Below are 12,287 nucleotides of genomic sequence, written 5' to 3' on the forward strand. Positions count from 1 at the left end.
TTTGTGGGAGTTTGTGAGTTTGTATCTGAAATATTACAAAACTCAGCAAATATGGCTTATAATTTGAGCTTTCGCATTCCCTTCAGCATGAGAATTCAAAGATAAACTTATAGTGGAGATAAGGTTTGCCAAAATTAAAATAGCATTTTAGAAATATCCATATGGCATTAGTAGGGTTTGGCAAAATACTACAAAATTTTATTTTTAAAATGCTATTTTAATTCTTGAGACATATTTAAACTGAGCTGACAAGGTTCACTGATTTCAAATTTAATTACCAAGTAATTTCTAATCAATTCAATGATTAAAGAAATAGTCAAAGATTTACTTAATCCCTACTATGGTTTAAGCCCTGTGCTAAACACAACAGATAAAGGTAAATAAAACAATTACATCCTTGAAAGAGATATAGTCAAACAATTAAATTGTAGTTTGTAAGTGCTATAATATGCAAAAATACTATAAGGAACAAGGAAATATTTCTTTGTGCTTCAAATTAGGAAGGAGAAGGAAGGGGAAGAAAACGGAGATTATCGCAGAGCTTAAAAAACAAAAAGGGAGAGAATTCCCCCTCCAATAAGATAGGACAAATGAGCATTTCAAACAAAAGCTAAGATGCAATGAAAGCATATAACTTGTTGAGGAGATTCCTGAATAGTCACATACTGCTGAAAGGAAAGTGTTGAGTGCAGGAGGTCCTAGTTAAGGCTGGACTCCATAACACAGCCTCTGAAACAACAGAATAATGTTGGAAAATTATTTTATCAGGGATCATTTGCTTGCAGATAACGGAAAACAAAAACAGTGAAACTTATTTGAAGTTTATAAGAGAATCTCACAGAATATAAGGAAAATTCAAATAATTGGATCAGAGAAAAGTCAGAGAATAAATGTAGACACCCAAACAGCAAGCGTTCAGGGAACTTCGTTTGCCATATTAACACTTTTCAGCTCTCAATTCAATCTGGGAAGACACCTTTCTGTTTTACTTATAAGTGGGCAAAACATTCCTGTGAGCAAAACAGCTACCATGTTGTATAATCCAGTTTTTCCATGTCCAATTCTAAGTTCCTGGGAGAGAGGATCTCTCATCTCTCTCACTTGCTCAAGTAAGCCAGTGGACTGGCGGGCCCTAGGTCAGGTGTCCACCTCTGATTTAATGGATTGTGACATGTATGGGGCATGGGTAATACCCTTCTTGGCCCACAGATTCTTTAGGAAGGGAATATAGGGAAGTAGCAGAAAGTACTGGAGTCTATGGCATGCTATCTCTTTTACTACCTATCATAAATGCTTTTCTTAACAAATAATTTCAAACACACTCAGATCCAATATGATATAGCAATTAATATACTAGCCTTAACTGATGTTATAAAGCCAGAAACTAGAATAGTGTCTACATCACATAGGAAGCATTCAATAAATATTTGCTGAATGAAAGAATTAACAAGTGAAAGAAAGAATGTATTCACCTCACTCCTATTAGGAGATAACCCAAATAGCCAACTACTTTATCCAAAAGTGATATCACAGCACCACTGTATTCAGAATCCATAGTCTTTCCCTGTCACCTCAGGTCCAGGGATGACTCATCACCATCTTGTTACCCATGAAGAAATGATATTCCAAACTTCCCCAATACATCATATATTCAAAAGCAAACGAAAAACAGGATAAGAAGATAACTGTGCATTTTTAAATTCCCATTTAAAAAATGGGAAAAGCAAAAAAATCTTACAGAAAAATACCATGCCTTAGTCTTAGATCAGATATATACATATTCTGTGTGTGTGTGTGTGTATATACATATATATACAGTATATATACACATATATATTATATATATAACTTACTGAACAGGATGTGTAAGGTAAATAATAGGACCTATACCTTGCCAATAAATAACCACCTCTTTATGTTTTAATATCACTATTATTTGCAATTATTCATTAACTAAAAAATATAGAGGCTGGTAAGATGAGAGAATACAAACAACTAACCCTCAGAGAAACTGCGGGGCTAGCATGCAATCACTGTGGTATGGAGAATAACAAGGCTTCACCCATTCCAGGATGGGAAATCAGCAGTACAGACAAACAGTGAGCATGCATCCATTTTATTTAACTCATTAATGACAAAATCAGCAGAATGAGACAGGTCAATAAGGAGAGACTAATGGAAAAAGGAATGCTGGTCAATGTCATACAGAGCAATAAAAACATAACTTCTCTTTGTAGAAACTTTCTTCTCTGCCTACTCTCCTTCCCTCAAAAGTCATTTCACCTTATCAGTTTGCTATGCCCTAGCCTCTAAATGTAGAGCTGTAAAACATCTGGGCTTTAAACTTTTGTGTGTGGCATATCATATAGCTGCTGTTTCCTGAGAGGTCAGCAGGAGAGCTCATTAAAAACTCTTGGATGGCATTAAAAGGTCATACAATCACCATTGTGCCCTGTTTTGGATTAATTTTCCTGAAGAGCATTTTGAAGTCAAACAAAAAAGAAAGAAAACTTTAACCCTAGGTTGCCCAGCCAAAAAGTGTGGAAAGTAGGCTTCTACCTAAAATTGTAAACTAGACAAGAAAAATCAACATTCAAACATTCTGTTCAAAAACTGTACCTAAATACATTTAAGATTATTATGACAAAGTAACTTACAAGAGTCTCACAAAGAACTTCTGAAGCCTCATTTTGAAAGCTGTTATTTTACCCCCTATCTGATCACCGCAGGAGAACCATTCCTAAGATATCCCGCTTGGCCACTCACATCTTGTGGCTTATCCACACTGCCTTCGTTACCTTAGTCTAACATCACTTCGGTATATTTTAAGACTGTAATACAGCAGACTATAGTAATAAAGGGGATTTCAGGTTTCATTTATATATTCACATCTGCTATGGTTCCTTTATCTAAGCCCATGCTGTGGGAGCATAATGGAAATGCTAAGTAATGCGAAATAAGTGAAGAAGAAAAAAAAAACCTTTAAATTGTTGACATATGCTTTTTATACATACCCAATACTTTCCAAAAGGGCAATTTCTGTGGTTAAGACAAATTGGTATGTAGTCCCATACACAAAAGCGGCTTCCATGACTGCTCTGTGCTCTGAAGAAGAGATAAAGGGAGTTGGAAGACAGGAAAAAATAGTTTGTGTGACTCTATGTAAACTTCTATTCTGAATATTATCCTACACTCCTTTATGTTCTACTATATTTAAAGAAAAATCCTTCACAGGGATACTAGTTGGGAAAATGCAGGCAGTTAAAAGAAGTTATAAAAAGTCTATTCTATTCAAGGTAAGAGAAGAATTCAGAGGGAGTAGAAAATGAGTTTTTACTTGAGAATATAATATACAACAAACTTGTGGTAGTTTCTTTCTAGTAGTAGGGAAAAGAATATGAATCCACCATACAACTTTCATGTTAGGTTTTATTTGTGTATGTGTCTGTGTATATTATTTCTGGGTTAGTTTTTTTAATCAAACTTACACTGAAAGAAAACAATAATTTTACAAGGCATATAATATACAACAAACTTGTGGTAGATTCTTTCCAGTAGTAGGGAAGAGAATATGAATCCACCATACAACTTTCATGTTAGGTTTTGTGTATGTGTCTGTGTATGTTATTTCTGGGTTAGTTTTTTTTAATCAAACTTACACTGAAAGAAAACAATAATTTTACAAGGCATATTAATAGCCACTCCCCCACCCTCTACTGCATTTCCAATTCCCAAGGGACAAGCACTTTCAACTCATTTCTTCTTCTCTTATTTCTTTTATCTCAACTCTTTATTTCATACATATGTGTGTGTGTGTGTGTGTGTGTGTGTGTGTGTGTGTGTGTATCATATATAACTTAATATATATAATAAGAGTTTTAGTATTATCTGTTGACTTCCTACTGTGGAAGATGACAAATCATCTCTTTCCTGAAACTCAGCTCCACAAATGTAAACATATCCCATCCCAACTCTCCCAATATAGTTCTAACTTTTATTAGATCAGTATTACTTTGTTGACTCAGTAAATACTATTTGCAGAGAAGCCATATGGTACAGAATGGCCACTTTCCCTTTTTGAGAAACTTCTTCACTATAGTTTTAACTATCTTTTTAAAAATTTTGTTTTTCTTTTCTAATTTCTTCCTAAACTCTTCCACAATTTTCTAACTCTCTCAATACTTCAAATATATCAAGTATACTATCAAATCAATCTTCTTGTAAACATTTCTGCAGAGCCTTCTGATTTGCTCCAATATGAACTCTTGCTACCTAGCCTGCTGCACAACTGCCATCCTGAGGATTCTCTTACTCCCTCTCTTGTGTTGGGTCCTTTTTGCCTGTTATCCAATATCGTCTTCTTTATTGCTTCCTTGTGCCCATTATCTAACACCTTCCTGTGAGAGGACATATGAATAGACAACTTTTGCAGTCCTGCACATCTGAAAGCATCTTAATTTTATTTTCAAAATTAACTATAGTTGGCTGGGTACAGAATTCTAGGTTCTAGTCATTTCCCATTTCCCCTGAGAATTCCGAAAACACTGCTCCATTTCCTTCCATTTCTAGTACAGCAATTTAAGAAGTTCGATGCTATTCTCATTCTCAATCCTTGAACTGCAAACTCTTCTTTCCTCTCTGGAAGATTTTAGAGTAGTCTTTTTATCTAATATTCTAAAATTTCAAAATAGGACGTCTTAGTGTGGCTCTGTGGTATTCCACTATGCTGGGACTCAATGGGTCCTTTCCATCTGGCAGCTCAAATCCTTCAGTTCTGGGAAATTTTCTTGAAGTATTTCTTTGATGATTCCTCCTTTTCAGGTTTTATTTTCCCTTTTCTCCTCACTGTCATTTCCAGACAATTATCTTCCCATCCCCCACATACTCTCCTAGCACTTGAACTGCATATCATCAGATCATTCCACTCACCACCCTACCTTGGAGTCACCCAAAACACCCCAGCCAGGATCACTTCCCGTCATTCCATGAAGAATTTAGCTTCTGTCACACTGTCACTCTCTCTAGTACTACTCCTGTCATAATCCTTGGGAATTTTATTATTATCCAGGTAGATCATCCTTTCAAAATCCCAGCCTCTCAGGCCTTGGCCTTCTTTATTCCAGTCATCCTTCTTCAATCATATCTTAACCACTAACTCTACACCTTGCAATCACCAATTAACGCAATCCCCTCCATAATTTCCCTCCTCCCCCACACAAACACACATCTCCAGCTCACTCTGTATAGCACACAACTCTAACCCATCAAGACCTACAATCCATAGGTCCTCCCGCTCTGGTCTTCTCTTTCCCTCTAATTAAGCTTAAATTCCCTGGTCAATCTTTATAATAATTTCCCTGCCCCGTTTTTTAGGCTAAAAAATGTAATCCAGGTTAACTCAGTGCTCAGCCTGTTCAATACTTACAGCTGCAAAAGGAAACATAGCTGGGGAGAGGGGGAGGGAAGCCAAAACAAGCTAGCATCACCAAGCTAATGGTGTCACTTTAAATTGCTGATATTAACTATTATTGCTGCCTAACAACCATTCTTTATTTCCAGGCCTCCGAAATAGCTCTCTCAACTCTTCCCTCAAATTAGCTGATGATTTTGTGTCTATTTCACTGAGAACAAACAACCAATTAAAAAACAAACCAAAAAACGTTTATAAACTCTTAGCACCATATCTACCCACCCACTTGGCTGAATGGATGTCCGCATTTTCTCATCCCTCTGGTTACCAGAGATGAACCTTCTGTGCTCCCACCCAAGAACAACCCCTGCCCTTGTTCGCTACATTCCATCCTCTCTTGCCTACTCGAAAACTTTGCTCCACCAACTCCCCCCTTTTTCCTGTGTGAGGCATTTCCCCTTTCCTACCACATCTTTCTCGTTAACATACAAATATGCTTTTCAAAAAATTATTCTCCTAACTCCATATATTCTTCCAGCCAGTGCCCCGTTTTTCTCCTTCCCAATAGCAAAACTTTTCTAACAAGTCTCCGTGTTCGGCCTTCAATTGCTCTCTACCTCTTCTGTCTTATATCCCTCCTATCAGGCATTAAACCCCTACCACTCTACAGAAACTGTGCTTGTCAAGGTCACCAGTAACTTCTATACTGCTAGGTAGGCATAATGGCCACTTGGCACTTCTGACGTTAAATCAACCTTTCAGCATCATTTAACACAATTGTTCCTGCTCTCTTCCTTAAAACTCTATCTTTACCTTGCTTACTGGGCACTTCTACCACATTCATTCTGTCTCCTTTACTGGTTCATCCTTACCTTACTGATCCATAAATGTTGAAGTATCTAATAGGTTCAGTCTTCTCTTTTCCATCTAGACTCACTCAGTGATCTCTTCTGGTCTCACAACTTTATTTCTCAAATTTACTTCCCTAGTCCATACTCCCAACATGAAATGCAGTCTAGTAATACCCAACTACCATACTCATATCTCTATTTGAATGTCTTTTGGGAATTTCATAAGTATGATGTCAAAAAGTGAATTCCAAGAGCTTCCTCTCCAAATTATCTATTCCCAGTCTTCTGAACCTCAGTTGCTAGCAAATTCAACTTTCAAGTAGCTCAGGCTGAAACCCCAGAACCAACCTTGTCTCCACTATTTCTCAATCTATATCCAATAGATCAGCAAACTCAGTTAGCTTTACTTCCCAAACACTGCTAAAATTCAAATTTATTGCCACCTCCACTGCCATCACCCTGGTCCAAGCCACCCAGCATCATCTCTTGCTTGACTTATTGCAATAACTTCCTATTTTTCTCCCTTACTCTATCTTTGCTCCTTCCAATCTAAGTTAGTCAACATTATTTACTGAATACTGGAAACTACTATACCAGGTAAAGGAGGGCTATAAGGAAATTAAAAAAAAATAGCTAACACTTTCAGAGTACCTACTACACTCTAGGAACCATTTAATTATTCATTTAATTATTTAATTAAAATAATTTATTTTAATTATTCATTAAAGTTCATTTGATTCTCACAATTACACTAACAGGTAGGCACAATTTATTTTCCCCATCTTAATCACTAGGAAACTGAAGTTAAGTAACTTGTCCAAGGGCTCACTACAAATAATCAGTATGGCAGAAAGTCTAACCTAGAGAGTTCTTATTCAACCACTGTATTACGCTGCCCATTTAAAGAAAAATAGCTTAATAGTAAAGATGCTTTAGATTTATTTTAAATATTACGACTGTAGTCAAAAAAATACACTATTTTAAGTACTTCAACATACATAAGTACAGAGGCACAGCAAAGATTAAAGCAAAAGTTAAAGAATACCTGGTATTCCAATGGCTCTTACATATGAGAATATAATATTTGCTTTTCCTTTCAGAGCATTTTCTATGTTCTGAAGGTCTTCCAGGTTGGTAATATATTTCACTTCACTAAAAAGAAGAGCACTGAAATAAATACAGATATAATTAGTAGAAAAATCTGATATGTATTTAGTTACACCACACTTCTGTTAAAGAACCTAACCAAAAGAGAAATATATCTCCATTGAATAAATTATCAGTAGTAATAATGTAAGCATTTTAATAATACTAAATTAGAATCACTCTCCAGATCATTAATCTGTCTCTGAGAACATCAACCAGGGACAGTTGTGAGACAATGTTCATTATGTATTACAACGGTCTCAACAGATTAAAACTGTATTCACTAACACCCTAGTCTGGCCAAATATTCCCACACAGATCTCTCAGCCTTGAACACATTTAAGCCCTTCACAAACCTAAACAGCAGGCTTCTTTGCATGGCCTATAAGGTCTGACAAGACCTAGACCTTGTCTACCTCTCCAACCTCATTTTGCTCTACCATTCCTCATGTTTACAACATTCTAGGCAAACCTCAGAGCCTCTGCACACAGTTTTCTTTGCTGGAAGCTATTCCTTTTGCTCCATTTCATAAGTATGATCTCAGATTAAACATCGTTGCCTCAGAGAAGTCTTCTCTGTTGGTCCTGTGTAAGTAAGCCTGTAGCATTTTCCTCTCATTTCAGTAGTTGATTCCTTTATAGTACTTATTACAACTTATAATTATTTATATATTTATTTACTTATCTCCACCTTTCTCATTAAACCCTCATGCCCTTGAGGCAAGGATTTTGCATATTTTATCACTATATCTGTAAAAACTTATAATACAGCCTAGTACACTATATTCAATAAACATTTATTGAATGAATGAAAGAAAAAGTAGGGCAGGAATTTTACTCCCATTCTTTATTTGAAGAAATGGAAGTTCAAAACACTGAAGAGTTTACTCAAAAACGCATTTATTGAATCAAGAAGCCAGGGACAGAATACAGAACAGGTGTTCTCAGTCCTAGTCCAGTAATCTTTCCACTTGACCATAATTCTTCCGAATCATCCTTTCAGTGTATAAATCAGACTGATCATATTTATTCATCCAAAATTATCCCTTTTTTAAAGTTGTCTACTTCTGGCCGAGCACAGTGGCTCAAGCCTGTAATCCCAGCACTTTGGGAGGCCGAGGCGGGCGGATCACGAGGTCAGGAGATCAAGACCACGGTGAAACCCCGTCTCTACTAAAAATAAAAAAATTAGCCAGGCGCAGTGGCGGGCACTTGTAGTCCCAGCTACTCGGGAGGCTGAGGCAGGAGAATGGCATGAACCCGGGAGGAGGAGTTTGCAGTGAGCTGAGATCACGCCACTGCACTCCAGCCTGGGCGACAGAGCGAGATTCTGTCTCAAAAACATGAAATAAAATAAAAATAAAAATAAATAAAGTTGTCTACTTCTATATAAATTCTCTACCCCTAACAACTCATTCCACTTAATCCCCATGTGCATAAGTATGTATTTTTGATAGGCTAAACTTCAAAAAATTTTGAAAACTTTTCAAAATTTTCATGTTGCAGGTCCACATACTTAAATAAACAAAGGTTCACTCAAATACTTCAAATAAATTAGTCAAACATCATTTCCTCCTATAAAGTTTTTCCTAATACAGCAGTTCTCAAACTTTTTGGTCTCAGGAAACTTTTATATCCTTTAAATTTATTGAGGTCCTCAAGGAGCTTTTATGTAAGTTATATTCATCAATAGTTGCCAAAATAGGAATTAAAATAGGAATTTTAAAATATTTATTAACTCTTTTAAAAATAAACATCATTACATGTTAACATAAATACTTTTTATTTAAAAAAAAACTATAATTTATAAAACCAAAGGAAAACTTAGTGAGAAGAATGGTGTTTTACTTTTTTTTTTGAGACGAAGTCTTGCTCTGTCGCCCGGGCTAGAGTGCAGTGGCACGATTTCAGCTCACTGCAACCTCCCCACCCTGGGTTCAAGTGATTCTTCTGCGTCAGCCTCCCGAGTGGCTGGGACTACAGGCGTGCACCCCCACGCCTGGCTATTTTTTTTTTTTTTTTGTATTTTTAGTAGAGATGGAGTTTCACCATATTGGCCAGGCTGGTCTCAAACTCCTGACCTCATGATCCGCCCACCTCGGCCTCCCAAAGTGCTGGGATTACAGGCGTGAGTCACTGCGCCTGGCCTTGTTTTACATTTTTGCAAATATCTTTAATTCGGACTAAATAGAAGACAGCTGGATTTTCATTTCTGCTCCTGTATCTAATCTGTTGTGACATCACACATCATGTAGCCTCTAGAACCCCAATTCATGAGGGAATGAAAGTGAAAAAGCCAAATAATGCCTTAGTATTACTATAAAAATATTTCCACTCAGTGGGCACCCTGAAAGCACTGTCCTAAATTATGCTGGCTTAAATATTTACCCATTCATTACAGATTTCTTCCACTTTTTAAAAGAAATGTAAAACTTGATCTTCTATCATTCCCAGGGCTCTTGTTTTGTTTTTATAAGAAATACTTACTGAGCAGTATTCACTATGTGCTAGGTATTTTCAGGTTTTCATTTAACCTCTCAACAATACTTCTGGAACAGTATTACACACATATTCACACACAGGCAACAATCTGAGAGACTAAGTAACCTGCTCCAAATCATACTTCTAGTTGCTGGCAGAGCTTCTGACACCAAGGCCAGGATTTTCTAAATTATATTACTGACCACTTATAAAAATGGGAAACCAGGTGGAAAGGTGGCAACTAAAGAATGGCAATGGAGTCTCAGTGGCAAGCTGAGCTATTGGCTGCCTATACATTTTGGCTAACAAGTCCAGAATCACTCTTCAGTTACTTCAAAACAGTTGGGAGGTACAATCTAGTTAACTTAATTGGACTACCATGTAAATTCTAGGCTTGGAAATTACATTCACCTAGTCATGACTTTTATTGTTTTATTATCTCCAACGTGTTTGCTTCAAAAATTAAGTCTGAGTATACAACCCTCCCCAACCATTGTTTGCAATAAAGACTGGCAAATATTTATTAGGTACTTACCACATGCCAGGCATAGTACTAAGCACTTTATAAATAGTGGCAATTTATCAATTTGGGGGCTGCCCACTCCCTTTTGCTTTGTCCAGTTTTCTAAGTCTTCAAGGTAGGCAGAGCCCAAGTGAAAGCTGATATTATCAACCTTGCTTTCCCAGGCTCCTTGCTACAAGGCATGACTATCTGACAAAGAATCACTTGCCTGAGATTCTGAAGCAGGGGCAGGCGATACCAAGAACAAGGAACAGTAAAGAATTATTTCAAGAAGCAGCGGCAGTAACAGCTGGCTTCAAAGGTAGCAATGACAATTGTTAGTCACAGCCCCAATGCAGGTAGTGCAAGCTGTAGTATCCAATGCTCAGCAATAATGCAGCTGTCCTCCTCAGACCCACTCTGTGTCATAATTTTCACTGTATGCAGAGCTGTCTAACCTTTGAGTCCAGTTCTCTAGCCCTTCTATCAAGGCTGAGATTTCCTATATCCACTCCAAATCCTTTTCTGCTTAAGCCAGTCAGACCCAGATTCTAGGGCTTATAACTAAAAACCCTCAGCAATGCACTCTGTCTTGTTTAATTTTCATGGCAACCATCTGAAAGCAGAACTATCATTAACCCCATTTTAAAGATAAGTTCATGGGGCTTAAAGAGGTTACCCTGCCTAATGTCCCAAAGCTCATTAAGTAGTCATTATCCATGACATAATAATAACCAAAACTAATGACATTCATAATGTAATGATCCCTATGATTTTTCCCAATGGCTTCCTCACTTTAATATATTCCTTAATATATTCATTTTCAGAATATGAGGATCCATTCCACAGCCTGTGCTCCCTTACTCCAGTTCCAAAGAGGAGAAATACTGACAAAAATGGGTTAAAGGAAAAGTCTCTCTTGGGATTTTCTTGCTCTGTTGATGGGGTAAAACAGCCTGGGGCTGCTCTAACTAGGTTCTTCCTGTCCCAGAAAGGCCTTCATTTTCTTTGGCATGCTTTTCCTGAGATTTTCCTGCAGTAACTATTAGTTGGATAAGATATTTGGTCAAGAATTGAGTGGGTGTCAGAAAGAAAAACAACAAAGGGTCTACCTGACCCTACTTTTAGAGCAGCAAGCAACTCAATCTTTTCTGAGATACAGACAATTTTTGTATTACATTTCTGTCATCATTCAAATTCTTAGAACACAACAAAAAGGAAAATGTAAATGTTTTACCATACCAAAACCCCCAGGAAAAAAAAGACAGAGAGAAATAAATTACTTTTATCTAAATTAATTACTGTGTATTATGACTGGGCAGATTCACATATAAAAAGAAATATCCCAAAGTCTTTTAATAAGTATTTCTAAATTAACATAGATTAAAAACAAACCAAACAGGTAGAAGCCACCTCTTGAGAGTACAATAATAAAGTTCACAAATATCATTCTTAGTCTTTTGTCATAAATTATATATTCTCCTAATAGCTTGCTTCTTATAAAATTCTTACTACTAGAAATAATTTTATGACCTTAAAATTTAAGAGTATTTCTGATCTTCCCATTTTTAACAACCAAAAAGTAAAACTTCCAAATTCATCATCCACAAATCCAAAATTTAAGCACCTAATATATGTCATGTACCACATATGTACTATAGAAGCACTTTGTATAAAAATTTGCAGTTTGGAGATAAAACCATTAATACCAATTAACAGAGCTGTGAGGAATTCAAATCCAAGAAAAGCAATTTTTTCTTATAATTTCCCAGTAAAAAGTATGTCATTATCGAACAGGAACCCACCTGACAATATTGTGTAGGAACAAATCTGATACAGATAAAAGAATGAGCAATCGCTCAATGCCTATTCAGGAGAGAACAGCATGGGCACAGTT

General features: G+C 36.6%; 1 protein-coding gene across 5 annotated transcripts in view; it reads right to left on the minus strand.

Annotated features, from left to right (window-relative positions):
- TXNDC16 (thioredoxin domain containing 16) overlaps positions 1–12,287 on the minus strand; it is a 121,910-nt gene that overhangs the window by 81,270 nt on the left and 28,353 nt on the right. For 4 of the 5 annotated variants that reach the window (XR_007064038.1, XR_007064037.1, NM_020784.3 and 1 more), the window contains exons 7-8: positions 7,307–7,428; positions 3,015–3,105 (exon numbers count right to left, since the gene is read on the minus strand). Coding sequence is in view for 3 of the 5 variants with exons in the window: in NM_020784.3 (NP_065835.2) it covers positions 3,015–3,105; positions 7,307–7,428 (213 nt within the window). In the remaining 2 variants the exon portion in view is untranslated. The remainder of the gene's footprint in view (positions 1–3,014; positions 3,106–7,306; positions 7,429–12,287) is intronic. The other variant, NM_001160047.2, reaches the window with a different exon arrangement.

The sequence above is a fragment of the Homo sapiens genome, chromosome 14, assembly GCF_000001405.40.
Source record: "Homo sapiens chromosome 14, GRCh38.p14 Primary Assembly".
Taxonomy (NCBI): domain Eukaryota; kingdom Metazoa; phylum Chordata; class Mammalia; order Primates; family Hominidae; genus Homo; species Homo sapiens.